Raw genomic sequence first — 27955 nt, 5'->3', positions numbered from 1 at the left:
ACATGTGTGGGTGTGTGCACATGTGAGCCTGTGCCAGTGTATGGGGTGTGTATGTGCTTGTGTGTGTTTCCCCAGCTGTAAGTGCTTGGCATTGGACTGAGCCAGAGGCGCACTGACGAGGAGAAGCACATGCCAATGCTGCTGGTGCTCGGTGGCATGACCGCTGTCATTCTGAAGTTTTTGTCTGACAGTGGAGGGATCTCCCCCAGAACACACTGGGGAGCTGGGGAGGATAAACAAGGTCTGAAACTGGGAATGAGCAGCTCATCTTTATTAAGGGTGGGCCTAGATACCCGTTCAGGGGCCATTGGTGGCATAGGTGCCAGGTGGAGTCCCTTCAGCAGTGGCTCCAGCCATAGCAGAGGAGGCGTTCCCAGCTGCACGGACTGGCATCGCCTCCAGCCCTGGTCAGCACAGATGTGCTGAACTTCCCCGTCAGCTGTTGCCCTTCACACACTGGAGCACTGTGGGGCTGGGGCTGAGAGAATGCCTCAGCATTGACAAAGAGAAGAATTTCTTTCAAATGAGCATTTTCCTTTTCTTTGTGAGTAATGGACATTTCAGGGCTGACCTACAGGAAAAAAAAAAACCCAGGGCAGGAGCCAGGACCAGAATTCTGTCCTAGAGCACCAGCCTCGCCCCCAGCACGCTGGGACAAGTGGACACAAAGTGAGGAAGCAGGAGACGGAGTGGCCGGGGTGGGAGCAGGGTCTCTTCTAAGGGCTCAAGATCCAGGACTGAAACACACAAACCCAGGTGGTCGGCCCAGGGGTCCTGGGGAGGGCGTGTGGGTGTTCCCACTGGAGGCAGCAGAGCAGGGATCTGGAATCCTTGGTCCAACCCAGGTCATTGCTCCTTGTCTTCAAGAGTTTCCAAAGCTTCCAGATCACGGGTTGTTCCTGAAACTTGGGAGGCCGCATTGGCCATTCTGCCTGGGACCCCGCCTCCTGTTCAGGCCCTCGGAGGCTTGTCCACACCCTGCCCCCGTTCTCTGGCTTCCTCCACAAATACACCTGGAGGAAGTCCCAGGCCACGGACACGGGAGCAAGGGGCTGGGAGAGACAACCTCGACAAGCGACCCCACAGCCTAGCGCTTGGTGGCCCGTGTGCCCTGCTGCAGACCAGAGGCCGCCCGGTCAGCAGGACCTGAGGAGGGACAGGGTGCTGGGGTGGGAGATGGACAGCGCCTGAGCGAGCTGCTGAGGAGAGGGAAGTAGGGCCCTGCAGAGGGACGGGAGCCACGGCAGGGGCGGCAGGTGTGGTGGGTGCAGGAGGTGCGGTGGGCGCAGCAGGTGCGGTGGGCGCAGCAGGCGTGGTGGGTGACCCACGGGAGGCTGCTCAGGCCTTTGCCTCCATCCCATGCTCAGGAGGAAGGAAGTCAGGATGTTTTTGGTGATGCCATGGAACCACAGGCATGTCAGAGCCAGCAGAGTTTGGACAACGTTGTGCCCAGGGCTTGGCACAGGAGCATTTGTGGACAGCAGTGAGGTTGCTCGCATTGGTCATGGATGGCGTGTTGGCACTGCATTGACCCCAGGACCTCGGGCAGGAAGGTGGACAGAGCCACTGATGATACAGGAGGGGGCCCAGGCACTGCTCTGCAGAAAGGGCTGTTTATCAGCCCTGTGGCCGCTGCCTTAGTGTGTGTGGTGGGAGGTGGGATGGGGATGAACTGAGCTACGTATGGAAAAAAAGTCTGGAAGGAAGTGCCTGGCATCTCACCAGGGGCTGCTTGGGGTCGCAGAATTTAACCTTCTTTCTGCTTGTTTGTGGTCAACACCACTTTCTCCCAGAACAAGGAGACGCACACACACACACTACGTTACTTCATCCCTTGACATCTGGGAAACTGCACACACCTCCCACCCTCCACCCAAGGCTGCGGGGAGAGGGGAGATTCCACAGTGACCCACTGCAGCCAACAGGGTCCCGAGTGTGATGGCGGCTGCTAGAGTATAGAGGAGAGAGACGTACTGCTGAGAGGCCGGGGGGCTTTCCAGAGGAGATGGCCCGCTGAGGGGTAGGGAGGAGAGGGAGGGGACCTGAGCAAGGTGTACGCAGGGCAGGTGCGGGGCCAGCAGGCATCAAGAGGACCAGGTTGATGTGGCTTGTTCATAAGACTCACCAAACACACTCGGTAAAAATTCAGGTTCCCAGGCCCTTGCTCTGGAGGCTCTGACTGGGGTAGGGGTGGGTACGGGGCCTGGAATCTGCATTTCTAATGAGCTCTTGGACTTGTCTTACAGTGATACAGGACCCAGGATCTGCAGATCCTCAGCCGAGGTTGGGATGGGCCAACTCCTGTCACCTTTGCACCTGGTGGGGAGAGGCTTTCCCACAGCACCGGACACTTAGACCCATCCTCTCGGTCACTGAGCTGGCAATGTCCACTGCTCACTCAGGTCCACATTCTCACCCCTCCCAGGGAGATGAAAAGACAGATGGCAGAGCGCCAGGAAACATAAAGCCCGTTCCCCAGCATGGGCCCCCCTTCTGCTGCCCCCTCTCCCCTTGAGCCCCTAAGGCAAGATGCTCCAGGGACCCCCCACGCAGCTAAACACACAGCAAAGCATGGAGACCAGGCGCGGGCACTGAAGGCAGGAGCCCCCAAACTCAGGGTCCCAAACTCAGCCCAGCCAAGTCCAGCCAAGTCCAGCCAAGGGCCGCTCATTCCTGAGGGGAAGACGCAGCCCTGGGGCAGACAGCCCTGTGTTCCCATTCTGCTCTGGGCTCGCCCAGGGCTGGCTGTGTGACTGTGGTGAGCTCCTCACCCTCTCTGATGCCCAGGCACTCCGCAGCATGCCCAGCCTGGCAGAGCTGGCTCCCGTGCACCCCAACCCGAGGTTGCTGGGATCCTGGGATCCGAAACTGCGGTCCTCCAGTGGGCTGTGTCCCATCCCTGACCCCACTTCCTTGACCCTGGGGAGTAGCCTTGGCTTGGCTGGGCCCTGTTCCCAGTGGGCACCTGCTCCAGAGATGGGCATCTGCTGGGGGCAAGTTCAGCCCAAAGCCAAGAGGCTGCGGGGGGGAGCAGGGGATGTGGCATGAGACAGCCCCACCCCAAACCTGGAGGCTCCAGGCTCTGTCCTGCCCCAGCTGCCTCCTCCTGGTTTTTCTCTCCTGCTGGGCAGGCTGGGGCTGTTCATAGCGGTCCCACCACTGTGAACACTAGGGCTGCCCTGGGGCCTCCACCTGCACACTGACCAAACATGCAGCAAGGAGCTGGGAGGAGCAGTGCCGCCCTCGGTGACCCTGTGTCCCCGGCCCTGTGTGCCCAGCACCTGTTGCTCATGTATCCTCTTAATCTAGCCTGGAGGTGGCAGCTGCAACCAGGGCCAAATCCCCCCTGCCACCTGCTTTCAGACAGCCCCGAGAGCTCAGGACAGCGTTCACCTTTTTAACGACTAGGAGGAAAAAATCAAAAGACCCATTTTGTGACCCATGAAAATGATACGTATTCAAATTCCCGCGTCCGCCAATAAAGTTTCACTGGGACACCCGGCCGCGGTCATGCATTGCCTGGGGCTGCTTAGGGTCAGCGCCCGTGTGGCCCCTCGTGCTTGGCCCGCCAGGCATGGGGGCTGCTTCCAAGTGTTCCCTCATCTCCATCCACATGCCCTGTCTGTCCACACTGTGCGTGGCCTTGTGCCGGGCTGCACTGTGATTTCAGTGGACGAGGCCCCGTCCTGGGGATGGCAAGGCGGGTGCAGTGGTTTTTACTGGGGACCCCATGAAGATGCCCCGGGTGGGTAGGCCAGGAAACAGCCACAGTGTCCTACAGTCATCTGGAGCTGATGTCCTGACCATGGTGGAGCACCGGAGATGGTCTTAGCCTCATCTCATCCTTTAATTTACAGGAGAGACGGGAGGCCGGGAGCAGGAGGCCCTGGCTCTCGGCTGGCTGGGACGGAGCCTTCATTCCCCTCCGTTCCTGCCACCCTCCTCGGTACCCCGAGGCCCTGCCTGGCAGGGCAGCTCCCACACAGCTGTGGGCTTTCTGCAGCTGCATCACTGCCCTCAGCAGGTGTCAGTGCCAGAGGGTCGGGCTGGCGGGGCCGTGGGTGGCGAGGAAGGGCCAGGCGGGCAACACGGAGCAGGCGTCCCTGTTCACGGCCGGCGTGGTGACCAACAGGAACCCCAGGCTGCACTGGAAGGGACTCCAGTGGCTCCAGCCTTCCCTGGCGGGTGCTGGGTCAACAACAGACACTGTTCTTGGCATGATGTTTGCACAAATCCCTCCCACAGGCCCGGGAGTGGTTCCCTGAGTCCTCACCCGGGTGATGTATTTGACAGAGGACCTCAAGCTGTTGCACCCCAGCCACCTCACCGCCCTCCAGGTAGGAGGGAAGGTTGAGGGCAGGCCGACCAGGTCCTCGGCTGCGTGGATGTCCAAAGTCTCCCCTCCAGGACAGGACCAGGCCTCACCCAATGGACAGATGTCCCTGGCAGGAGACCCCGGCACCACACAGCTTGGGGTTGGTGGGGTTGGGGTCAGGCCACCCTGAAAGGCACGGCCACACCCAGGCCATCCGGCTGCCCCCTGTAAAGGGCTCAGCAGTGGAAGCCCCCGGAGGCTCCCAGGAGGCGGCGCCTGGCCAGGACCCCCAGCAGGGGCTGACCACTCTGCCCTCCACTCAGAGAGGCTTGAATAAAGGCTGAGGCCATGCAGCCCTTCGGGAGCAGAGCCCATGGATCCCGCACACTCTGGTCTTCAAACTCCAGCCCCAGCCCTGTGCTGAAGACTGGGCTGCCGTCCACTACCCCAGCCTCTCGGCCACTCCCACTATCTGGGGACATAGCGACTCTGTGTGAAGAGGGGTGGTAACACGGTGCCAAGGTTAGGGTTAAGCTGACCCTAGGAATTAGAGGCACTAAAGCTGGGCAGGGTGTGAGGAGGGAGCCGTGGCTTCCTGAGCCAGGGCCACTGTCTTCAGACCTGGTCTTCTATCCGTCCATCAGTCCAGGGGGTGTCTGCCCTTCTGCCTACCATGCCCCTTCCCTCTGCTCATCCCTCCCAGGGTCCTGACCCTCGCCTCACCTGCCCTGGGGCCGGCAGCTGGTGGCCCCTGAGGGGAGGCCCCACGTCTGCAACTCTGGGCAGAAGTCAGGGGTCACTCCTGACAGGCCCTGGAACCCCAGGCCTAGAGATGCCCAGCAGGAGCCCCCGTGCCTGCCCAGGCCTCCAATCTGCTGGCGCCCAGCAGCCTGAGCCCCTTCATGCCAGCCCCTGCCAAGGGAAGGGCACATGGTCGGGGACCCCCACAATGGGTCCTGGGTGCCACCTGGCCTGCAGACCCCCTTGCAGATCTCTGCTCACTGCAGCTGTGCCCGTTGATGGCCCAGCTTCCCTGCACATGGGCGTCACTGCCTCCCGCAAGAGGGTGGGGAGATGGGGAGCCCCTGGGGGCCCCAGCAACCTTCACAGGCACCTCCCCAGCCACGGGCCATGCTGAGGGGCTCCTGTTTGGTAGTCTCCCTGCCAGGCCCAGCACCCCTCAGGCCATCTGGAGAGATGCCACCGGCCCAGGCCTCCCCACTGAGGACACAGACCCCCACAGGTCACCAGCGCAGCATCCGTGCTCACCCCTGTGGGTCCCTGGAGGTGCCTTAGAGTCCAGGCCATTTTAAAGGAGAAATCGAAGAAGGGTCCTTGGGAAGAGGACAGGGCGGGGCCAGCCCAGGCCCCCGGCAGGCCCAACCCACAGGGCCCAGCTCCTAAGCCCACATTTTCAAGCAAAGCTCTTGTGTGAGCAATGAACATTGGTTTCATGGTGCCCTGGCAAGGAGGAACAAGCAGGAGCACCCAGCTGTGGGGATGACCCCGTTCCTCAGCCACCCACTTTCAGGGGGAAGGGTCTCGGGCTCTGCACTGAAGTGTTCCGGGGGCGGGGGCGGCACTCAGGGCTTCACTTACTTGGAGCTGACCACGTGCCGAGCCGGGCTCTCCCCGCGCCACCTGCTGGGTCCTCTCCACGGCTGCGGGACCTGCGGCCGGGCCGCACGGCGCCATCAATGCACAGCTACAGCTGGTTGAAGGGGACCAAATCCATTGGACAGTCGATTTGGTTCCATTTTACCAGCTCTAGCAAAGCATTTGGCTCCCAGATCCGAGGAACAGCGACGTCGGTGAAGAAGGCGGCTCCACCAAGCAGTCCCGATGGAGATGGGGCTTCGCGGCCAGCATCAGGCCCTTACCCCAACTCCCGGAGGGCCCCCACCCCGTGGAGTTTCCCTCAAGCTCTGCAGGGACTGGTGTGAAGGGCCACACGCCCCAACACACACACACACTCAGACATACACAGACACACACACCCGCTCACACGCAACTCACCACCCTCTCGCTCTGCCCGGGCTCCCCCATCGGGGACCCGCAGGGGTCTGGGGAGGGTCGGGGGTGCCAGGCGGCCTCCATGCTCTGGAACTGACACTCACTGCTCTCTGCCTGTCACCGCCCGATTCCTCCACAGCCCTCGCTTCACCAAGTGCCCACTGCCCCCAGCACTAGCCTCAGCTGTGGGATACAGCTCAGACCATCGGGCCCCGCCCCAGGGGGCTCACATCTGTGGGCACAGTGATCTTGCAGGTTTGAGGCCCTTATTCCCCTGCAAACTCCTCCCAGACCATGCTCATAGCTGGAGCAGAGGCAGGACAGACCTCCCAGTGAGCCTTGGGCCCTGGCTAACCATGGGGCAGCCCACCCAGGACCCCGTCCTGCCTGGCTTGCCATGGCCTGGGTGGGACGGGATGGACTCTGACACCACATGGTATCTCTGGGTAGGCAGGACGGGAAGATTCCAGGGACGTCCACATTGCATGGTGGTGGGAGGACAGCCTGAGGGGGCCTTCGTGGCCTGACCCTGGGCCCCATGCCCCAGACCTGCAGCCCTGCCCGCATCTTGCTGAGGGGCATTTCCATGCCCAAGGGAACTGTGAGGATGGAGTGTCAGGACGGAGGTCCGAACGTGACATCACTCTTGCCTGGCTCCCGCGTCCCCCACACCAATGTCACCTTCAGTGCCTTGAGAGCAAGTTCCCTTTTATAAAATGAGTCTCCCTGCAGCCCCCGTTCATCAGGAGCCGTGACAGGTGAGGGAGAGTGTCTCCGGCAGTGCTGGGGATGTGGCACCCATGTGTGTGAGCTTCTATCCGGGAGCACAGGCCGTCCTGGGCAGCACAGGTGAACGCACCTGCTCCTCGCCCACCAGGTTGGCAGAGTGGGCGCTGCGCACTAGGGCCTGTGCCACCTGCCTGCCCGTTGCACACCTGGGGCTGCCCTGCCTGCCTGTCCTCTGGCCTTTCTGTCCCCCTCCTGACATTGCAGGGACAGAAGCTCAGGCCCCTCAGGCAAAAGGGACGGTCGCACAGCACCATGCCCACGCTCCAAGTCCCCTCTGGGAGTGACTGAGCTGGACGACCCCCCACCCCAGCCTCTGCCAGGCCTGCTCTGACCCGTCCGTAGCTGCCTTCCCTGACTGTCCCTGCCACGGTGCCCTCCAGAAAGATCTGTGCCGTGTAGGAGGACCACCTCCTCAAAGTCCCCTATAAGTCGGGGCTGGGCCCCAGCCTTCTCAGCCTCGCGCCCCAAAACAGAGAGGCTTCCGGGCCATCAGCCCACACTCTGCAAACCTCTCTCCTCCTTACTCCAGTAGCACAGAGGGTGCAGGGCAGACCTCAAGGCTCCCAGAGTCCACCCCTCCCTGGCCCTGGAGTGAGGACGGCTCAAAGACCTCGAAGCCGGCACACACTTGTCCATTTATCGCCTGTCAATATTCCTAATGGAGCAGAAGATTTGACAAGATCAAGCCGGGGATTCGAGTCCCAGCCGCGATTCTATCCCATCAGGAGCTGGGAGGTCTGGCATTTGCCAATCAACATAGCAAACAAACTGGTCATTTCACCCGAAAGGCAGCAGAGCACTGGGGCAGGCTGCAAAACCCCCACGGGGAGGCCACTGCGGCCTTGGATGAGGCATCAAGCTTGGCGTTGCAGCCGCCACGGTGGTGGGCGTGAGCTGTGAATAGACACCGAGCGGCCAAGTGCCAGGTGCGGCCCTGAGCACCGACAGCCACCGTCTTCTCCCATACACCCCACTGTACCTCAAGGCCAGTCCTGTGCTGCCCCTCAGGAGGACACTGGGGCTCACAGCAGCGTCCCCTGCCCCGGGGCCCAGGCCCTTCTCTCTTCATGCTGCCCCATGAGGTGGCAGCCAGCCTCCAGGTACCCTCACCCCAATGTGGCCTGGCTTAGGGAGGTTCCCAGTCATTCTTTGCCAAGGGTGTGATCAACACCTTTTCTTGCAAATGTGAAGGAACAGGCCCACAATTCGTGTTCTTGGGACGTGCCGGAACTAGGTCCATCCTTCGGGCAGGACGTCGGGGACCCCTGTGGACCCGGGCACCCCCCTGTTCTGCTCTGCTCCCTCAGGCAGCAGCTCCCACTCACTGGCAGATCCTCTAGCCCCTTCCCCTCTGAACCCTGGGGTCTCACCAGCATGGGGCGAGGGCTGACAAGGGAGGTCCCTGAGGCTCCTCAACTTCCTTGTAAGTATTTTTTTCTTTTCTCTCTAAAAAGGCCAAGAAACCAACACCCCACAAGCCCCAAAACCTCCCCAAGGGCCCCATGGCTCAAAGGTCAGGTGCTTCACAGAGCTCACCCTTCCTAGACCCCCGCACCCCACGCTCTCCGGCCTTGGAGCTTGCCTTCCCCAAACTGAGCTGTGCTGCCTCCCGCCTCCCAGGCATGGGCTGCCTTCCTGCCAAGACCCATCCCCTCACCACAGCGACCGCCCCTAGCTCCTGGGGCCTCAGATCCCCGGGCCCCGAGGGCTCCAGCAGCCTCCGGGTAGGGGAGGGCCAGCCCTGCCTGGCCTTCTCTGGGGCCAGCTGCCACTGTGGTTTCCTCATCGAGTGAGGAGTCCCTGCGCCCCCCGAGTAAAGGCAAGCTCGCCAAGGGAGGGGCAGCTCCTGGCTGGTCCCCTCTGTGTCCCCGGCTGGGTGCCCAGACCTGGCAGAGAGGTGGCCCAGGCGTTTCTGGTGACTTTACCGTTCACCAGGACAGCAGAACTGGGGTTGGAGCCTGGGATGTGGATTCTCCGGAAAACCCACTCTGGGTCCTCCTGCCCCTCTCTTGACTCCAGTGCTACAGAGAACAAGGCTGCAGCTCCTACCGCTAGTGCACTTTATGAACCAAACAATTAAACAGGTTTTAAAACATCTGCTGATGGAGTTGTCCCACACAGGGAAGTACACTCAGCATTTTTAAGCAGCGACGGATACTAGTTGCAGGCAATCTCTGCCGAAAGCACCGGCAGCCCTGTTAAAATCAATACAAAATTAGATGCCATGAAGATACAGTACGTGTCCAATTAGTTATAATTGGAGCAAATAGTGGTGTAGATAAAGACCTGGTAGGAAGTGTCACTGAGACTCACGGCTGCAGCAGCCTCACCCACGGACCCCCGAGGGGTGAGGACACAGGGGAGCAGGAGGGCCAGAGCCACGCCTGCCATCTTATCCCGGAAGCCCCTCCTACCTTTGGTAGGGCCCCAGCCCCTGCGCTGGACCCTAGAGGGGAGGCAGCCCCACAGCCCTGGAAGGCGGAAGTAGGAGCAAGTGTGAAACGCACCGCCGGGCCCTCCCCTGCAGCCGCAGCCGTCCCCAGGTCGACATCTGGTGGGGCAGAGGGGGACCCCGGGCACAGAGTGCCACACACCTAGCCAGGGGTTCTTGGGGACTTCTGCAGCCCCTCTGCGCCTCAGGTCCTCCATGTGGGAGTGTGAATGACCATGTGTAAGCACCAGCCCCGTGTGGCCTGAATCTTGGTCATGCCATGGCCGGGTCTGAGCTTGGCCCGGGGTCCCTGGGCACTTGCCCCTCAAGGGCGGTGGAAGCCAACAGTCCCTCCTGCTGCACCCAAAAGCCCTCACCCAGGACCTCGGGGAACGGTGGCCATTTTGGGCAGAAACCACACAGGACCCCCAGGGGAAGGTGTCTCTTGCCCCAGCACAGGGGACACTACAACCAGCGTCCTTGGTGAAGATGCGGCACCAAACGACTTCCCCTCAAGGACAACCAACACCAGGTCACACCCGCAGCAAAGACACTGCCCTCAGAGACTGCAGAGCACAGCCCTGCCCCTGCCAAAGCCCCCACAGAGACTCAGGGACCCAAGATGAAGGCAAGGGTGGCCCCTCTCCTTCTCCCCCACAATCTCAGGCACTCACCGGGGGGCAGGACAGGGGCCCCTCCCCTCCTCCCCCCTCAACCCCAGTTGCACTCACAGTGGGGCAGGACAGGGGCCCCTCCCCTCCCACCAGGGGAGGACATTGCTAACTCCCATCTGGATGCTTTTTTTGTTTCTTGCTATGAAGCTTTTAAAATTTAAATGTCAATAACCTAATATTTCTCCATGCAGCACCATTACCTATTAGCACTCAGATTCACCACTGAATTAAATTTTAATTCCAGATTTTGGTTAATTATTAAAATAGATAGCAAAGAATTACAGTGAGCCTGGTGTGTGTGGGCAGCCCCCGTTGGGGTTTCTGCAGGAGCCTTTGGGGTTCTGGCTCTCACAGGGCAGTCTGCAGAGAGACCCCTAATTAAAAGGCAAGAGGAAACCCTGCACCCCAAAACGGCTTGTTTCTTATCATCAGCAACGCTGACTCAGCCAAATGCTGAACAAGACCCGCTCAGCCCAAATCCATAACTTTTCTATCTATTCAAAAAAAGAAATGTATTATTTCTCAACACTGATAAAAGTTTAATACAGAGTTGCCCGGGTTTTTAATAAACTTGTCAACAAAAGAGCAAGGCAAATTGATGGGTCCCTTCCTAGAGATAAATTTCGCCTCAAATAGACCCACAGAGCAGGGGGCAGGCTGGGGGGAGGCAGGGCGGGAGGGGACACATGATTATTTAGCTGTTCTTTGCAAAAATGGCAAGATAGACTTTTGTGTCTTATGATCTCAAAAATAGGGCCGCGGTAAAAGCTGGTTTAATTTGAAGAAGGCTGTTGGCTGAGAACAGGATCAGAGAGACCCGAGGTCAAGAGAGAGGGCTTGGCAGCTCGGGGACAAATGAACGGCCACGTGTCCCAGGATAAGGAAAAGCCATTTGGTGCACAGAGTCTGATTGGAGCCCCCTCCTGTGGGTGGGAGGGCACCTGCCCACCGCTCCTGCCCACCTGCAGAAACAGATCCCTAAGCCAGGACCTCAGGGATGGCCACAGATGAAATGACAGGGGCATCCATGTGGCCACCGCAGGCCTTGGGACACCAAGGAAGGCCCCAGCTCCACGCACAAGTGTGTGTCGGGCTCTCGATTCTGCCGGTGTTCCCTGCCCTCCCTCTGGCTCAGTGAGGCCACCCAGTGTGCAGAGACATTGCGGGACATGTCCTCATCAGTCCTCAGGTGGGGTGCAGCACCCCATGTCTAAGGAACACAGGATGGGCCTTTCCTGCCCACACTCAAGGGCATCAGCTCCACAGGCCTTGGAGGTGTTTGAAATTCTACCATTAGAGAGTCACTTCTTGAGTTAAGGGTGGAGGGAAAGCCAGTTCCCCTGGGAAGGGGCCTGGCAAGCTGGTGCTCGGGCCTGCAAGGCCTCTGGAGTGTGTTGCTACAGCTGATGTGGGAGGAGGGCCGGGACAGGTGAGGAGGTACCCGAGGGAGGGGCAGCAGGGACCCCAGCGACAGTCTCGCCTGCTGCAGGCCTGAGCCCGAGGCCAGGGAACCAAGCAGCTCCCTGCACCCACTCCCAGGGTGGGGATTCTTGTCCCTCTTCACTCTCAGTGGGCAAAGTCCCCGCCATGCCCTGGGGAAGGGACGACAGAAGGTAGCTGGGTCCCTCCTGGACTTGACACCCTCCAAGGGGGCAGGTGAGGAGGGAGAGACAGAGGCAGAGCCCAAGAGCCCAGAGCCTCACCCGGCCTCTGTCCCGCTACAGCTGCTGGCCTCAGGCACTTAGGCAGTGGGCGGGGTCGGGGGCACTCCTAGAGCTCCGGCAGAGTCATCCGAGTTCAGCCTCTCCATGGGACAGCTGAGAACGCGGACTATTTATACTGGCGTGGTGGGCGGGCGGGCAGCTGGGGAGACACATGCAGCCCTGGAGCCATATCTGGGCATGACAGAGGGCATCGGCTTGCCAGGACAACAAGCGCCACACGGTGCAACTGTCCTGGGCGTCCTTCAACCTCAAAACATCCCCACGGGGCCCCCCGGGGACAGGTTCCAGGGACAGCTGCCTTCTACCCCCTCTCCTGCCGCTGTTAAAAATATTCTGGGTCATTGTCCCAGTCATCCCAGAAATCGTCCTCCGTGCATGCCCATGCAAACACACACACACACACACACCTGCCTCCAGTCCCAGCCAAGGAGTCGCTCGACCCTGTGAGGAGTGGACCCCAGTCTCCCACCGCCAAGGCTTCTGGGTGACCACCTCCTGGCCAGGGAGCAGCCAGTGACCTCTGCACCCAGCACTCCTGAAACAGGGCTCTTTCTCCCATGTTCTCTCCCTGGGGTAGACACAGGAGGCCTGAGAGGCCCAGTGTCCCCCCCAGCATCTCTGTCCTTCAGCATCACACACTTGCACCCCAATGGGGCAGCCCGCCTGGTGCAGGGAGCAGACCTGGCCTGAGGCTTAGTGGTGCCTCTGAAACCTGGGTGAATCAGTCGAGCTCACAGTGCCTTTGCAGTGACCGCTGTGTGGGAACCTCGGCCCTGTGTCCCTCTATCTAAGGGAGCCAGCGGTGGAGCTGCCAGAGGTGGCCCTCTGATCCCTGCCCTTGAGACGCGCAGCCCTGCATGCTTCCTGCGGTGTTCTGCAGCATCCCAGGCGGCAGCTCGGCAGCAGCCTGCCCCACTCCTCTGCTGCAGTCACCGCCCCTCCCCACTCAGCAGGACGGGCTTCCAGGGGTCAGAGCCGGCTGGGGACTCTGAGCACTAAAGGCAGAGTCCTCCCCAAAGGCAGAGTCCTCCCTGGGCACCCAGGGGCCTCCGGGGAGGGCCCTCCCAGCCCCAAGCTCTGGCCAGCTGGGCCTGGGACCTCAGGAAGGAGCAGACAGCACGAGGCTCTGGGAGCTGCTGATACTGTCTGCGGGTGCCTTCCCTTCCCAAAAGCCATGCCCAGCTCTTCCTGGGTGCGATGCCTCCAGTTCACAGGGACAGAGGCTGCTGGTTGGCCAAGGACAGTGGGCAAGGCCAGGGCCCCTCACAAAGCCCTGTGCTCCTGTCCAAGAGCCTCCCTTGCTGGGGCCCAAGCCCAGCCACCCCGAGGTCAGCATCCTGCCCGGGGGCATCAAAGGCAGGAGCAGGGCTGCAGAGAGCACGGGAGGCCTCTGCAGTCGGACGTGCACGGCGGGGCTGAGTCAGCACAAAATCCCTCAGGTTGCTGGGTTACCCTTCATGCGAAGGTGGCAGCGACTCACGGCATTGCACCGCCCCGCCCACCTCTGGCCATCCCTGCCCAGAAACCCTTCAGGCCAGCACTGCCCAGCCACGCCCTGGCCCTGAAGATGGCTCGGGCCACTCAGGTTCTCTCATTTTTACTTTAGAGCATTTTTTGGGTAAAATTTGCAATTCGAGTGATGTTCATTTTGATTGACTCCGGCTGCGGCATCTAAAATATCTGTCCTGTGGGTCAATCTAATCATGCTTGATAGCAGTTTATTCTTCGACGCAACGTTCCCCATGTGAGCCCGACAGTTTCACAGAGACTGCCGACGCACCTCTCGCGAATGCTCTCACCAGCCGCTGCGCCTGCTTTGAATGCTTGTGCAATAAAACACTGTATTGCACTTGAATGCACTACTAAGCCAGAATCACCAAAGGCCCCCTCTTTAGAAGGGGGTGCCACTATGTCCTCGGCCCCCTGGCTGCAGAAATGCAAGACCACTCATCGTGACACACGCGTGCAGGCACAGCAGCGGGGCCGTCCCTTCCCAAAGACCGTCCTTCTCCTGCGTGCAAGCTCCAGGACCCAGAGCCGGTCTCACTCACGGGTGGAAACAGTGCCTGGAGCATAGCTAGCTTTTGTGAGCCATAGGATAGAAAAAGGTAACTAATTTGGTCCGCTGAATTTATGAGCTCCACAATTTCTGCAGCGGCTGTTTCCACGAGCGGGAGCCTGGCCCAGCCTCTGATCACCGTGGGGCAGTTTCCAGAGTGTTCTGGGAAACCCAGAAGCCTACACCTGGTGCTACCTGCTCTAGGGAGTGAGAGACACCGGCACTGGCCACCTCCTCATGGCCACACAAACCCACCTGGGTTCCCGAGCTGGCAGGCGAGGGGGTGGGTGTCCCATGTCCAGCCCCCTCAGCCCAGTCCAGGCTCATTTCCCTCTGAGAGTCCCGGCCCCCATGGTAGCGTGCCTAAGCCGTCTCAGGAGAGTCCCTGCGGGCAAGACATAGCCAGTGAGGGTCTGTGCCCCCGCCCTGCCTGCTCTCCCCTCCTTCAAACGGACAGGCACAAAGACCCCCACAGGGGAAAGTCCCAGCGTGTCCATGCCCCACGCCAGTTTGGGGTTCCCGTCCTGGCTGCTGCCCGGGAGCCAAGCTTTAGAGATTCACGCATGGGAGACTCCAGCCCCGGGTCCCAGTGTCTCCAGGAAAGCAGCAGGATCCCCAGGGAGCACCATCAGGCCACACGTGCAGGGGAGAGGGGCTCGGGCTGCCATGGGCGGTGTCCGTGCAATGCTCATTTTTAATTCAGCAGATCAGAGACTGGAGGTGATTTACCGCCAAGCAGGCCGCAGCTCTCTCCCTGTGAACTCTCCAGTTTTACTGCTCAGTCAAACCTAATTCCAAAACACTAATGCTTTTATTTAAACACCACATCCTGCAATAAAGCTTTAATGTACAACAGCCGCATCTAGGGGAAAAGAACGGTGTGTCTGTGGCCACCGGCAGCCTCGGTGGCCACACGCCCGGCTACTTCCCTCCCTGTGGCCGGAGCTGGGAGCAGGCAGGGAAGAGATGACGTCAGCGGATGCTGGGCACTGACCCTCCGGGTCCAGAGGCCGAGAGGAGGCTGTGCCCGAGGTCAACACCCGCCCCCTTGCTGCTACGCCAGATGGGGCTGAGGCTGGGAGAACGAAGTTTCCAGAAGGAAGACCTGAAGGCCAGGAGCCCTGACTGCCAGGCCCTCCCCTCCAGTCACCTCGAGGCTCCCTGAGGGGTGGGAGCCACCTGAAAGCTCAGAACGGCCCCCAATCCCTTTATCCAGCGCTCCCTATGCTGGCCCCAGCTGCTCAGGTGACCTGGCTGCCCCCAGACCCAAGGCCTCCAGCCGCTGCAGGAGGGGGCTGCCTGCCTGTCCCTTCCCGCCTCATTCCTGCCGAAGGCCAGGGTGCGGGAGGTAGGGCACAGGGGCACCGCTGTGGCTGGAGCAGTGCCAAGGCAGAGAGGACACACACCCCAGAAATTAATCCTGAGGCCTGTGGCAGGGTGGGGGTGCCCAGGCAGGGACCTGGCCTCATCCCAGGTGGCAAACGCCTCCAATCTGAGACTCAGAAACGAGCCGGGCAAACGCCCCTCACACAGCAGCCCAGCCGCTGCCTAAGACCCCAGAACCCGCCGCCCATCCTCTCCTTGAAGGACCAGCACTGGGGAAAAGGGTTTCACGGACGGATCCGGACCTGCCCTCATCCCCTGGGCCCCAGGACATCCTCCCAGTCCTTTCTCGGGTCAGGACTGGGATGGCGGCAGAGCAGATGGCTCTCAGGCCCCCGACAGGTGGGGCAAGGGGCCCTGGGCCACACGCTGCTTTCTGCCAAAGCCTCACCTGCATTCACAGCAAAACATGCCTCAGGTTGGATTCGGCGGAACAGAGAGAAAGCTGAACCGGGGCTTTGGTGGGGGTACAGGTTGGGGCGGCATGAACCAGACATTTGGCAAAATCGAACGGCTCCCAGGCCCCTGGGGTGGGCTGTGGGTTCAGGGCTGCACAGACTCAGCTCCTCTGACCCTGTCCCAGGTGCCCTCGGCAGAGGAGTGGGGCCTAAGGGCAGTGGTGGCCCTGACCCTGCCCGCGTCCCCAGCATCTCGTGTGGGCTGCGCCTTCCTTGGAGGCTACATGCCTCCGAGTTCCTCTGCCTTGCCCTACAGCCGGGAGGGCTGGATGCAGGTGCAGGAGGTGCCTTCCCTCCGCAGACTCTACCATGTGCTGCCCAGCCTCTCCCTCCTTTCTGCATCCAGCCACCTGCCCTTTTCCAAACTCGCTCTTGTCTTGTGCCTCTGAGCAGTTTCTGCCCTGGCCACACGTGGCCCTTTCTGCCGGCTGATGGCCTCTTCCAGGATGGCCATCAGTGGAGCCCCCAGAGCCGCCGCCACCACTCCGTGCTTTCCAGCCACGGCCCCGACCCCCCAGCCCTCACCAGCCCCGCGCTGGACCCCGCGCCTGCCGGAGGCCGCCTCCCCTCTGCCGCAGTCAGCAAGCTGAATATTTAATGTCTGGTGAGCACTTCCACCTGCTGACACAGGCAAAGTGACAGAACAATGCTGGCGGGGACACGACCGTCCACCAACGCCCAGGCAGCCTGCCGCCCCAGCCTCACCCCCACCACAGCCGCCTGGCTGGCTGTCGGCCGCGGCGGCCCCCGTGGTGTGGAGTGCCCCTCAGTGCGGCGAGAGAGGTCCCGGCCTGAGATACATACTTCTTTACATTCCATAGCTTAGCAGGTCCATATGGGCATATAAAGAAGTATGTTTCCCAAGCAGGCAGTCTGCATGCAGTTCCAAGACCCCGGGACGCCGCCCCGGTAGAAGCTGACCCCACTGCGATGTAGAGAAGGCAGCTCAGAGGCAGTGTAACTTCTTCCCTGGAGTCTACTGCCGGAGCCCTCTCTGTGTGAGCAGGACAGCCTTCCTGCCACTGCTGCCTGGTGTCCAGCCACCCCCAGGGGCCCAGGACTCCCTGCCCCCTTCTGACCTCGGCGCCCCTCCATCCCTGAATCCATCTCTCTCTGTCTGTCTCACACACTCACACGATCCAGAAAGGCAGAAGTGGACAGTGAGCCCCAGAAAGTCTCGAGCGCCTGTCCCTGGCCCCAGCAGTAGCTCGGTTTTGCGTCCATGGAAGAGACAGGCTGCCCCTCCACCCTCACCCCAGAGCAGGGAGGCATCATCCATGTCCCAAACTTTCAAAGCCAACACTTTCCTGTCCCCCTGGGTCACCTCATCCCAGCCAAGCCCAGAGAGGGCTGGGTGGAGAGAGGAACCTTGGGGGGCGCCCTGCCCAGCACCCCACTCGCAGGACCAGCCTCCTCCTTCTCCGGGAGCTGGACAACTCCTTGCTCCTGAGGCCAGACGAGGAACTGCAGACCAGAGACCCGAGAGGTGTCCTGGGGGCTTACCTGGGCATCTGCTGGTTTCCTGGGCAGGTCCCTGGTGAAGGCTGCCTCCCGGGACCCCGTATCCATGAGGAAGGGCTCAGCACCTCTCTCCGAAGATGCAGGCGAGAAAGACGATGCTTGGAGGAGTCCAGGTTCCCAGAGGGTGGTCAGGATCTCCTGAGAGGCCGTCCACTAGGGGGGCAACTCCCTAGGTGCCTCAGCCTGGCCACAGCAGACACCCAGTGGGCGAGGGAGCGTCGCTCCCCCGGTTCTCTCCCTCCTTCTCTCGCTCTTCTTCACCCTCTCCCCCGTCCCCGCCTCGCAGCGTCACCACCCTGAACCGCCGCGCAGTGCGGCCCACCTGAAGCGGCAGCTGCGCAGAGCCAGCAGCTTACATGGGCACCGGGGGTCAGCAGCCACCGTCACCTGCCCAGCGCCACTGCCGTGGCACCCCCGGGAGGCTGGTCCCACACCTGGCTCTTTGTGGCCAGCCGCCCAGCCTCCACCAGCCCCTGATCAATACCAATTTACAGTCAAATGCAGGGGGCCGCCTTCCTGTTAATGAATTTCCCGGTGCTCACCAGCTCCTAATGAGCCTGTTAAAGAGGGTTTAAGTAAACTTAGCGAGTGGCAAACTAAGCACTTTGGAATACTTAATTGTATCGATATGTTTTTCATTGCGTTTAAAAATGTCTCTGAGTGGGAAGCAGAGGCTGCCTCCTTCCCTGCCAACTTCTATGACCAGCCGTGAAGCCAGACTCTGAAAAATGTGGAGAAAGAGCCAGAAGGAGACCAATGGGACCTCAAGGTTAGGCCCTCACCAGCAGGAAGGGAAGCCGCCCCGAACCTGCTGGGAGCGGGGAGAGGAGGAGGAGGAGGAGGAGGAGGCCTGCAGGGTTTCGAGGCCTCGCAGTGGCCCAGGGCGAGCCTGGCACGTGCGGTGGTGAGAGGTGGAAAGAAGGCTTTGCAGGTGCCTGGGGGGGACGGGGGCCAGGGAGGCGCCAGTTGGGGGTGCAGGCCGGGCACAGACACAGGAGGCTTGCTAAGCGGTGGGGTCCAGCTGGGCCCTGGCCCCTGTCCTGCCACTGACCCTGGCGTGGGGTGGGACAGCAGCCCCGGGACATGAAAGGACCTCCCGTTGTCCTCATCAGGAAGAGAGGTCCAACATGACTCTGTTGCTCCTCCAGGCAGCCCGTCCATGCGAGGGGACAGCCCGGAGCGAGTTGGTTCTCTCTTACCACCCAGGGCAGGGCAATGTCTCCGCAGAGCCTGCAGTGTGCAGAGGCCACTGAGCATGCTGTGGCTGTGTGGCAGTGGGTCTGCAGCTGGGCATGGCTGGGTTGGAGTTTCACGTGGGGGTGGGTGGGGGCGGGGGGTGGGGGTTGTGCTTAAGGCTCTGGAGGCATCCCCTCTACAAAGGAAGGAGCAAATGGCAGACAGAAGCAGAAGCTGATGTCCCATTTCCACGTAGCTGCTGTGATTTATCATTTTCACGTAGCCAAGGATACAAAAAGGGCACCCGACACCGCAGCCTGAGCTTCAACTTCGGGGGCACCTGGGTTCCGCCGCTCATCTGTGCCCTCCCAAGACCTCCGCAATAACCGTCCCCGGAGTCCAGGGAAAAGGCCTCCTCAACGTCCCCAGCTCCCTGGCACATGAGCTCTCAGAGCCTGGGACACTCCCGCAGCCTGGCTCAAGCCCCCACGACCTGTGAGGCATTCATCTGGACGGGGTCTGGGGGTCAAGGGGAAAGCTGGGAGTCCCAAAGGGCAGGAGAGTCACCCCAGACCCAGCCAGAGTCCACAGGACTTCTGCCCACTCACAAATGAATTGTAGTCACTTTTCAAAAAGTTTCCCGTCTGCATAGAAAAAGAGCACCCAGCCGCCTCCAAGCAGACCCCACCGTGAGCCGAGCTGGCTCCTGTGCCCGGGGCCTCCTCCGGGGCTCTTCAGCGGTGAATACCGCCCGGCCCCCGGCATCAGCGCCGCGGGAGGCCACGCGGGAAGTCAAGCTCCCCAGCAGGGACCTGCACAGACGCCGACCACCAGGGCTGCTCTCCCCGAAGCCCCCCTAGTCTCCGCCCACATGTGCCCCCCGCCCCCCACCTCGCCGCCCTGCCCCTGTAAACGCCTCCTGACCCTGACGTGGCTGGGAGAGCTGCAGAAGTGCCGAGTCCCGGCCGGGGGCAGCCTCGCCGCCGCTCAGCTCGGGAATCCCTGCCCCCCACCAGCACCTCAGTGGGGGATACTGCAAGTTCAAGGTAAGTTTAGCCCCACGCCCGGCTGCCGGGGCTTTGTTGCGGAGCGGCAGGTGAATCGCGCCCCCAGCCCAGCCCCGAAGCCCCCATGCCATCCACTGCCCGCGTGGGGGGCCGCTGCTTTCTTGCAAAATGCCCGCAAGTCAAAGTTCCTGCCTCCCAGCTGGACGCGCCCTCCAGGCCCTGCCGGCTGCTGGCTCTGCAGTTTTCCAAATGTGGATGATGCCGCGAGCCAAGAGAAAACTCCACGGCACCCCCGCCGGAGCCGCACGGCGCCGGCACCCGCAGCACCCACCTCGCTGGCAGGCACACCCCCCACCGCGGTGCCCGGCAAGTTTGCAGGGGCCGTCCCGGCGGCCCAGCGGTGGTGATGGGCTGAGCAGGACTCACCGCGGAGCCCAGGGCACCCCTGGGGCCGGGCTGGTGACAGCGGCAGCGGCGGCGGGCGCAGGGTCGCGGCTCCCTAGGAGATGCTGCAGCGGCGGCAGCACCAGCCACCTCCTCCGGGAGCCAATCGCGAATGCAGGGGTGGGGGCCGAAGCTCGATGCGTCCGCACTTGGTGGGGGCAGAGAGAGAAAGAAGACACCAGGCACCCCCTCTCCACACCCCTGCCCTTCCCCCAGCCCTCCTGCAGCAGCGCAGACTTAGCAGGAGGGAGATCTTGAGAGAGAGAGAGAGAGAGAGAGAGAGAGAGAGAGAGAGAGAAGGCGCTGGTGCAGAGTTAGGGAGAGGCGGCCGAGCTGCACACCTTGAGCCCCGGCCTCCTCCGAAGGGAACCCCTGCACCCCAGCGGGGTCAGCACAAGGTAGAGAAGGTAGAGGTCAGGGTGGAACAAAAGGGAAGGTCCCGCGGGTGTGCACGCTCTCGCAGGCACACAGCCGGCTCGCGGAGACACAGGGGCGGGGGAGGGGAGGGGAGGGGAGGGGAGGGCCTGACCTGAGAGGCCAGAGCGGGCGTGGGGGCCCCCCTCGGGTCAGGAGCCGGCCTCACCTTTGCAGTTCTTATATACCCGGCCAAGCATCCCAAACACGCGGCCCTGGCCAAGTGGCCCCCTCGGGCTGCGCTCCCTGACCATATTTAGTCAAGCAGGGGAAAAAATAGCCTGTCAGCTGGGCCGCGGCTGGCCCGGCCACCGGGAACAGGGTGGGAGCACCCACGCCATTGACGGCGGGTCCCGGGCTCAGGCTGCTGTCCTGCCCCTCCCGGCCCCTCCCTGACAGGCCTCCCACCGGCTGTCCCTGCCCGAGATCCCCCCGCTATTTTTAGCCCAGCCAGTACAGAGGCGCCTCCTCAGTAGCCGGGCAGCAGCCTCCATGCCATGCCAGCCGGCTCCTAGGGTGCCCTGGGGAGACCCGGGCATCTCCCAGGCTGCAGGGCCGGGGGTGGGGGGGGCGGGCAGAATGGTACGGCCTCCTTCGCTGCTCTGAGCCTCCAGTGGGCTGAGCCCACCCAGGCCACCAGGAGTGGGTGGCCCCCTCCACAGTCCCATCGGCTCTGCCCTTTTGCCTAGAATTGGGGCCAGGATCAGGTGGTGACAGAGCCACCTGGGTTTCCGGAGACTCTCAAGCCAACCCCAAGTCATGACAAATGCCAGTCGCCTTGGACAGAGGCAAGGTCAACCTGCTTGCCGCCCCCAGCCAGGCCCTGCCACCAAGGGTGTGTGATGGGGAGACCCCAATCCCGGGTGCTGGACGGGCTCAGGAGCTCCCCCTTCCGGGATTTCACGCCCGAATTATGTAACAGACGAGGGCCTGGGACGGGGCCTGACGGGGATCTGTCCTTGCAGGGCCTGGACGCAGAGACCAGAGGCCTGAACTGGCAGACTGTCCTCACAGGCTGTGTGACGCTGGCTGGTCGTCCCATCTCTCTGGGGCCCCACAGGACTGGGGACCAGGTCGTGGAATGACAGTGGACCACAGTGGTCCGGGGACCCCGCTCGTTGGTGGCAGGCACAGGCCCGTGTGATGGGGACAATGAGCTTTGGTATTTGTGAGTCCTGTCCAGAGCATAGGTCCTCCTGTTCAGAAGCCACCTCATAAATGTCCCCAGTGCCTCCCGGACTTAGGAAGGCATCCCCTTGTGGTTCTGGCCAGTTAGGGACACAGGGCCGGGGAGTCTATGCCGCTCAGAACAGGCTCAGCTGCATCTAATCCCAGGGGAGCCCCTGAGGAGCCTGCACACCCCCCAGGCTGGCCCACAGGAGCTGAGGCAGGGCTCTCCTCCAGGTTCACCTCCTGGGCTCACGGCCCCTTCCCCACATCCCAAGGCCGGCTCTGCAGAGTCATGGGGAGAAGCCGGAGCCCCAGCCACACTCGCCACACACGCCGACACCCACTCTGGTGTCCTCCGGCCAGCGACAGCGAGGGACAGAGGGACGCCCCCTGCACCTGCCCAGTGCAGAGGCTTCTTGAGTGATGCCAGGCCCTTCTCCCAGCCCTGTACGCCCCGCTAAAGACCCCATGTCTCACCATAAAGGAGGCCAGGAGGTTTTAAGCTTCTACCTGGTCTGAGCACTTTTCTGGAAACTAAATAGCCACTCGGCTTCCCACTGGCAGCGGGAGAGCGTGGTGTGAGGTGTGGTGTCCAAACTCCCCCTGCAAGGCCCCTCCCCTGCAGCCCACTTCCTCCTGCCTGCCGTCTCCAGGCAGGGTTGAGGGGGGCAGGCCAGGCCTGCAGCTGGGGTCAGGGGCATAGACAGCCACAATGGGGGAGGTGGGGAGCAGTCTGCAGGCCTGGGCAGGCGGCTCTGTAAAGGATGCGGGTGCTTTGTGGTGGTGAGAGAGAGGGTATGCAGCAGACGTGGCCATAAATCACCCTCCTCACGGCAGCCCCACACCCACGGACCAGGGCACGGGCACAGGGCCATCTCCTTCCAGGAGAAGGGCTGGTGTGGGTGGCCAGATCTGACAGCCCCCAGGCCGTAGGACAGAGCCAGAAGACAGAGCAGTTCCCCCGTTTACCCATAGCACCAGCCTCACAGTAACAGCCGGCACACAGCACTTAGGCTGCCTGGTGTTCCAGAAGCTTCTGCAGGGGCTCTATGCTGCACTCAAGGCATCCCTAAGAGGAGAGCATTTTGCTGTCCCCACTTTACGGAGAAGGAACGTGGGCTCAGGGTGGGTGCCTCACTCTCCCAAGGTCCCATACCAAGCACTGATCGGAGCTGGGTGTGTTCTGGCCCCCACCATGTCCACGGCTGTCCTCGCCAGGGCAGTAAAGTCAGAGCCCATAGCCCTCGCCCCTGACGGCCCAGGGCCGTGCTGCCCGTGGCCCACTCCACCATGATTTGAAAGGGAGACCGCAGTGGGTAGGAGAGACGGGAGGGAGGGGAGAGGGGAGAGAAGGGGGAGACGGGGTAGAGGGGGCAGAAGGGGAAGAGAGGGGAGAAGGGCCTAGGCCCCCGAGACTTTCCCCTTGGTGTCTGCAGGTGGTTTAAGGCGTGAATGAATGAAGGAGCAAGCAGTAAGCCCCGACAGCAAGGCCACCACAGCCCTCGCCCCACAGGGACGCCTGAGCAAGGACCCAAGCAGGGGACAAGCAGGCTCACCCCGCCCTTGCGGGGCTGACCACGAGGCCCCGTCCGGTGGAACACGCCATGACGGTGAGTGCTCTGCCCTGTCTCACACGGCTCCCACTGGCCACGGTGGCTGCCAAGCTCTCAGAAACGGGGCTGGTGCCCCTGCAGACCTGGATTTTTTAGTCAGTGCAGCTTTGATTTGTTTCAGCTTCAGGAGGCTCATGTAGCTGGCGCCGTATGGGACAGCGGGGGAGAGAGAAAATGCACAGCCCAGGGAATGTGGAGACAGGCCCAGCGCCAGGCATGGGGGCCGGAAGGAGCAGCCGGGGAGCAGGGGGCAGGGCCTGGAGTCCCGCCTTGCAGGTCAGAGGTCAGAGGTCAGGGAAGGCCTGGGTGGGGGTGAATGAACAGGCCCCCCAGTGATGTCAGAGGGGCAGGCGGGGAAGGGTCCCGGAAGAGCACCCCGGGGAGTGTGTACAGGAAGGCAGGAGCCCGGAGGCGGGAAGGGGGGCCTGGTGTGTCCAGCGGGCAGCAGGAGGCCAGCATGGCTGCCACTGGGGCAGTGGCAGTGGATGGGTGGCCTGGGGCTGGGCTTCGGGCAGGGTCAGACCACGTCAGGCCTTGTAGGCCAGTGCCAGGGCTGCAGGTGTCCTGCTGAGGGGCACAGGCCTGGGCAGGCTGGCACGGCTATAGCAGGGTCCTTATGGCTTATCTGCTGAGGGTGAGGGTGGAGGGCAGAGGCTGGAGCATCAGGGGCCCTGCCCAGCTGCGGTGCCCTGGGGAGGGCTGCCCAGCTCTGGCTGTGCCTTGAAAGTTTGCCCGAAAGATTCACTGTTGGAGCAGATGTGGTCACAAGAGCAAGGGGGGATGTCAGATGGCCTGGGCCCTGAGGAACAGAGTGCATCCCTAGGAGGGGGACGGCCCGTCACCAGGGAGCCTTCTGAGACCATTTTGTAGGTGGGGAAACTGAGGCTCAGGAGGAAAAGCCAGTTGCCCAGCACGCGAAGACCCAGAGCCTATCTTCCTGCCCCTACATCCTTGTCTGTCCCCAGATCTGAACCTGCCCCAGCCCCAGGACTCTGAGTGCAGCAAGAGGGGAGCCGGGCTGGAGAGTGGGGAGCACGGAGACTGTGGCCTGGATGGTGCCAGAGCAAACAGGAGAGAGGCTGCCCAACGCAGAGGCTGCAGCACAGACCAGAGGGTCCCGGGGCTGACTGGGTGGGGGCAGCTCCCAGCGAGAGGCCCCTGGGATTTGGGTAAGTAGAGGCACATGCAGACTCTGGCCACAGGGCACCTCGCGCACGAGGGGAGTTCACCACACAAGCTGAGCGGAGGGCGGACGCAGGAGAGCAGCGGTTTCTCGGAAGCCAAGGGCGGTCATGGAGCCCCACGCCACAGCGCTTCCCACGGGGCCACACCATCCGGTCTGCGGAGGGGGCTGCATTGCCGGGAAGGACCATCTGATTCTGGATTCCAGCCTCACCCTGGGCCACCGCTGAGTGTCCCAAGTGGCCCCTTAGCCCCCAGGGCCAGGCGGCATCCCAATCCCCTAGGGATGTCTGTGCTCAGAATGTGGCACACACGCCCCGGCAGGGCCATCCTCCTCCTCCTGCACCCGCCACAGCCGTGGATTCGGGGTCTCTATCGTGGGCAGAAATTCACACAGTCAAGGTGAGGGTCCCAGGAGCAGCTGTGACCAGGCCCCGGCTGCCAGGGAGAGGGGGTCTTCAGCCGACGGGGCAGACACCCTGAGATGGACCCTTGTCCAGGGGAGGGCCCTGCCACCCACAATTCCTTGGCATTCCTGCACCAGCAGGACGGGCTGAGGGAGGCGCCTCACCAGTGCCAGCGCCCAGCATCACTGTGCCCCGGTGGAGGGGGAGGCCCTTCCGAGCCTGGGCCTGGGTGTGGATGAGGGCAGGTCTCTCACCTCTCTGACCTCAGCTTCCTCAACTGGGAAGGGGGGCCACAGCACCCCCTTAGGGGTGATGAGGAAGTGGGAGCTCAGGGAGGACCCCGGGCAGGGCTGCCTCCTCACCTCTCTTCGGCCTTTGGACACTGGAGCTCAGAGGACCAAGTGAATGAATGAATGACTCGATCAATCAACTGATCCATGAATCCATGGACCCCTGAACAGCTGGACAGCTGGGCTGTGGGCAGGACAGGGGACTCTGGCTGAAGCCGCGTTCATATGTGTTCAGCTTTGTGAGTGGGGCGAGGTTGAGGGCTTATTCAGTGGGGGAGGTGCACGGCAGGGCCAGTACCCTTGGAGGGTCAGGCCACAGGGGCGGGGACACCTGCCAGGATGCCCAACCCCAGAGGCAGTGGGAGCTGTTGGGGAGCCGTGGTCCCAGTCAGCGGTGGCTTGATGAGGGCTGCTCCCACTTCATCCGCAGGATTCCAGCCGCAGCTACCCCACACCCGAGCTGTCCCTAGTCGCCCACCGCGGCCGGACAAAGCCCCAGCAGCCAAGGTGCTCCGTGGGGAGGGTTTCTTGGGTTTCTTGAAGCCAGTATTTCCCATAGTATCTTACGTCCCAGCAGAGGCCTCCACTGTGCCCGGACCAGCGGCCCACTCAGTGAGTCGAGTGTGCACCTGGCACCCCTCTTTCTGGAAATCCACGAACAATGGGCTCCCAGCAGAGGACTGAGGCTGAGCAGGCCACTTCCCTGGAGCTGACCCCACAGCTGTGTAGGTACAGGGTGGCCGTGAACACTTAGGGCTCTCTCGGGCTGTGCGCTTCTTGTTCACTGCAAGGAGCAGGGTGTTGGCTCCTGACCAAGCCCTGTCACTGCTGCCCAGCCACACGTGGGGCCCCTTCACCCACCCCTGACCACCTCATGCAGGTGAAGCCACTGTGGAAACAGCCTGGCAGTCCCTTGAAAAATGAAGTCATAAACCCCAGCAATTGCACTCCTGGGCCTCTGACAGAGCTTGCACGTCCCCTCCAAAGCTCGTGTTAAGCTGTGAGCCCCAGTGCCGGAGGTGGGGCCTGGTGTGTTTGGGTTCTGGGGGTGGATCCCTCATGGCTGGGTGCCATGAACCCACTCACCACAGTGAGTTCTCACGAGATCTGGTTGTTGAGAAGTGTGTCATACCTCCCCCACAACTCTCTGTCTTTTGTTCCGGCTCTGGCAATGTAACAAGCCTGCTCCTCCTTCGCCTTCTGCCATGACTGTAAGCTTTCTGAGGGCTGACCAGAAGCCCAGCAGATGCCAGCACCATGCTTCCTATACAGCCTGCAGAACCGTGAGCCAGCTAAACCTCTCCTCATAAATCACCGAGCCCCAGGTTTATCTTTACAGCAATGCAAGACCTGACTAATACAGCACCAGCTCCCCAAAATAAAAAGAAATATTCAAACAAATAAGCGCACAGAAGTGTTCCCAGCAGCACTATTCACAGCAGCCAAAAGGCGGAGGAGCCACAGGCTTGTCAGCTGATGACAGATAAAGAAAGCATGGCCTGTCATCCCAGCACTTTGGGAGGCCGAGGTGGGTGGATCACCTGAGGTTGGGAGTTCAAGACCAGCCTGGCCAACATGGTGAAACCCAGTCTCTACTAAAAATATAAAAATTAGCTGGGTGTGATGATGAGCGCCTGTAGTCCCAGCTACTTGGAAGGCTGAGGAACAAGAATCGCTTGAACCCGGGAGGCAGAGGTCGCAGTGAACCGAGATCATGCCATTGCTCTCCAGCCTGGGTAACAGAGTGAGACTCTGTCTCTAAATAAATGAATAAATAAATGAAGTGCGGCATATCCATGTGAGGGAATAGCATTCAGCCCTAAAAAGGGATGACACGGGGACACGAGCGGTAACACGAAGTGCCTGAAAACCCTGCTCGGCGGGAGAAGCAGACACAGAGACCGCCGGTTGCAGGATTCCGCTGATAGGAGATGCACAGAGCGGGCAGCTCCATGGAGACAGAAAGCAGATTCCGCGGTGCGGGGGCGGGGAGAGGAACGGGAGTGACTGCTTAATGGGCTCCAGAGCTCCTCGGTGGGGGATGAAAGTGTCTGGGAAGTAGACAGAGGTGGCGGCTGCACAGTGTGGCAAATGTGCTACATGCCACCGAACCACACTTGTTAAAGTGGTCATTGTATGTCGTGTGAATTTCACCTCTGTTTAAAAAAAAAAAAAAAAAAAAGCCCAGCTCAGAGTCCAGCCCCAAACCTCTCTCAGTGACCTCTGCCCTGGGACACAGGGCCACCCAGACCGTGAGCTTGGGGCCCTTCAGGCTGCCCACTGAGGAGGGGCAGCTACTGCTGAGGTCTGACCTTGCCTCTCCTGATGCCCCAGCCACAGTTGGGAGAGAGGCAGGGTGGGGGGTGGCTGCCCTCCTGGCCAAGGACACTGTCCCGGGGCCAGTCACAGGTTTGCCAGGGAGGGCCGTAAGACAACTCAGCATTAGCACTGCCCAAGCCAGTCTGCTGCTGTCATATTCCCTGTGTGGGGACACAGTAATGCCCACTCCCCCTAAGGATGTACACGTCCCAGTCCAAGAACCCGTGGCCGTGCCACCTTATGTGGCAGCAGGGACTCTGCAGGAGGGACGGAGCAGGATCACACTGGATGCTCTCTGTGGGCCCAGTGTCCTCACAGGGTCCTTAGGAGAGGGGGTGGGAGGGTCAGAGTCAGGGGGAGCCTGGAAGACATAGCACAGATGGCTTTAAAGGAGGGGCCACGGGTGAAGGCGCGGGAACCTCCAGACCCCGGAGAGGGCAGGACCCGGATTCTCCCCAGGGCCTCCAGCAGCCAGCCCTTTCAACACATGGACTTTAGATTTATTTCACTTTTGGGACTGCAAGAGAATAAACTGTGACTTTTGTTACAGCAGCCATGGGAGACTC

At 61.5% G+C, this 27955-nt stretch overlaps 2 long non-coding RNA genes and 2 other non-coding genes across 4 annotated transcripts, besides 7 other annotated features; 1 reads left to right on the top strand and 3 right to left on the bottom strand.

The window, feature by feature from the left end:
* Positions 1–250: 250 nt before the first annotated feature.
* MIR1-1HG (MIR1-1 host gene) lies at positions 251–20562 on the bottom strand. The gene is made up of 4 exons (NR_171007.1): positions 19977–20562; positions 17350–17550; positions 5915–6026; positions 251–571 (listed from the first exon to the last, which is right to left on the bottom strand). It is a non-coding gene; the product is annotated as an MIR1-1 host gene (long non-coding RNA).
* Positions 1210–1711: an enhancer, noted in NCBI's record as "H3K4me1 hESC enhancer chr20:61166511-61167012 (GRCh37/hg19 assembly coordinates)". NCBI's record gives its function as "activates a minimal SCP1, AML or CMV promoter by ChIP-STARR-seq in primed H9 embryonic stem cells {active_cell/tissue: H9 hESC(primed)}" and the evidence as "EXISTENCE:reporter gene assay evidence [ECO:0000049][PMID:30033119]".
* On the bottom strand, positions 6002–6103 carry MIR133A2 (microRNA 133a-2). The gene has a single exon (NR_029676.1). It is a non-coding gene; the product is annotated as a microRNA 133a-2 (primary transcript).
* Positions 8339–8856: an enhancer, noted in NCBI's record as "H3K4me1 hESC enhancer chr20:61159366-61159883 (GRCh37/hg19 assembly coordinates)". NCBI's record gives its function as "activates a minimal SCP1, AML or CMV promoter by ChIP-STARR-seq in primed H9 embryonic stem cells {active_cell/tissue: H9 hESC(primed)}" and the evidence as "EXISTENCE:reporter gene assay evidence [ECO:0000049][PMID:30033119]".
* Positions 8857–9375: an enhancer, noted in NCBI's record as "H3K4me1 hESC enhancer chr20:61158847-61159365 (GRCh37/hg19 assembly coordinates)". NCBI's record gives its function as "activates a minimal SCP1, AML or CMV promoter by ChIP-STARR-seq in primed H9 embryonic stem cells {active_cell/tissue: H9 hESC(primed)}" and the evidence as "EXISTENCE:reporter gene assay evidence [ECO:0000049][PMID:30033119]".
* Positions 9376–9893: an enhancer, noted in NCBI's record as "H3K4me1 hESC enhancer chr20:61158329-61158846 (GRCh37/hg19 assembly coordinates)". NCBI's record gives its function as "activates a minimal SCP1, AML or CMV promoter by ChIP-STARR-seq in primed H9 embryonic stem cells {active_cell/tissue: H9 hESC(primed)}" and the evidence as "EXISTENCE:reporter gene assay evidence [ECO:0000049][PMID:30033119]".
* Positions 11682–12553: an enhancer, noted in NCBI's record as "H3K4me1 hESC enhancer chr20:61155669-61156540 (GRCh37/hg19 assembly coordinates)". NCBI's record gives its function as "activates a minimal SCP1, AML or CMV promoter by ChIP-STARR-seq in naive H9 embryonic stem cells {active_cell/tissue: H9 hESC(naive)}" and the evidence as "EXISTENCE:reporter gene assay evidence [ECO:0000049][PMID:30033119]".
* Positions 13424–14295: an enhancer, noted in NCBI's record as "H3K4me1 hESC enhancer chr20:61153927-61154798 (GRCh37/hg19 assembly coordinates)". NCBI's record gives its function as "activates a minimal SCP1, AML or CMV promoter by ChIP-STARR-seq in primed H9 embryonic stem cells {active_cell/tissue: H9 hESC(primed)}" and the evidence as "EXISTENCE:reporter gene assay evidence [ECO:0000049][PMID:30033119]".
* On the bottom strand, positions 16639–16709 carry MIR1-1 (microRNA 1-1). Its single transcript, NR_029780.1, has one exon. It is a non-coding gene; the product is annotated as a microRNA 1-1 (primary transcript).
* CRMA (cardiomyocyte maturation associated lncRNA) lies at positions 19454–27945 on the top strand. Its single transcript, NR_033263.1, has 7 exons — positions 19454–19589; positions 22554–22703; positions 23015–23188; positions 23313–23467; positions 24157–25309; positions 25648–25795; positions 26252–27945. It is a non-coding gene; the product is annotated as a cardiomyocyte maturation associated lncRNA (long non-coding RNA).
* Positions 19600–20475: an enhancer, noted in NCBI's record as "H3K27ac-H3K4me1 hESC enhancer chr20:61147747-61148622 (GRCh37/hg19 assembly coordinates)". NCBI's record gives its function as "activates a minimal SCP1, AML or CMV promoter by ChIP-STARR-seq in primed H9 embryonic stem cells {active_cell/tissue: H9 hESC(primed)}" and the evidence as "EXISTENCE:reporter gene assay evidence [ECO:0000049][PMID:30033119]".
* Positions 27946–27955: the final 10 nt, after the last annotated feature.

Source organism: Homo sapiens, chromosome 20, assembly GCF_000001405.40.
Source record: "Homo sapiens chromosome 20, GRCh38.p14 Primary Assembly".
Lineage (NCBI taxonomy): Eukaryota > Metazoa > Chordata > Mammalia > Primates > Hominidae > Homo > Homo sapiens.
Note: the sequence above shows the minus strand (reverse complement) of the source record. Positions and strands in the feature narration are given on the sequence as shown.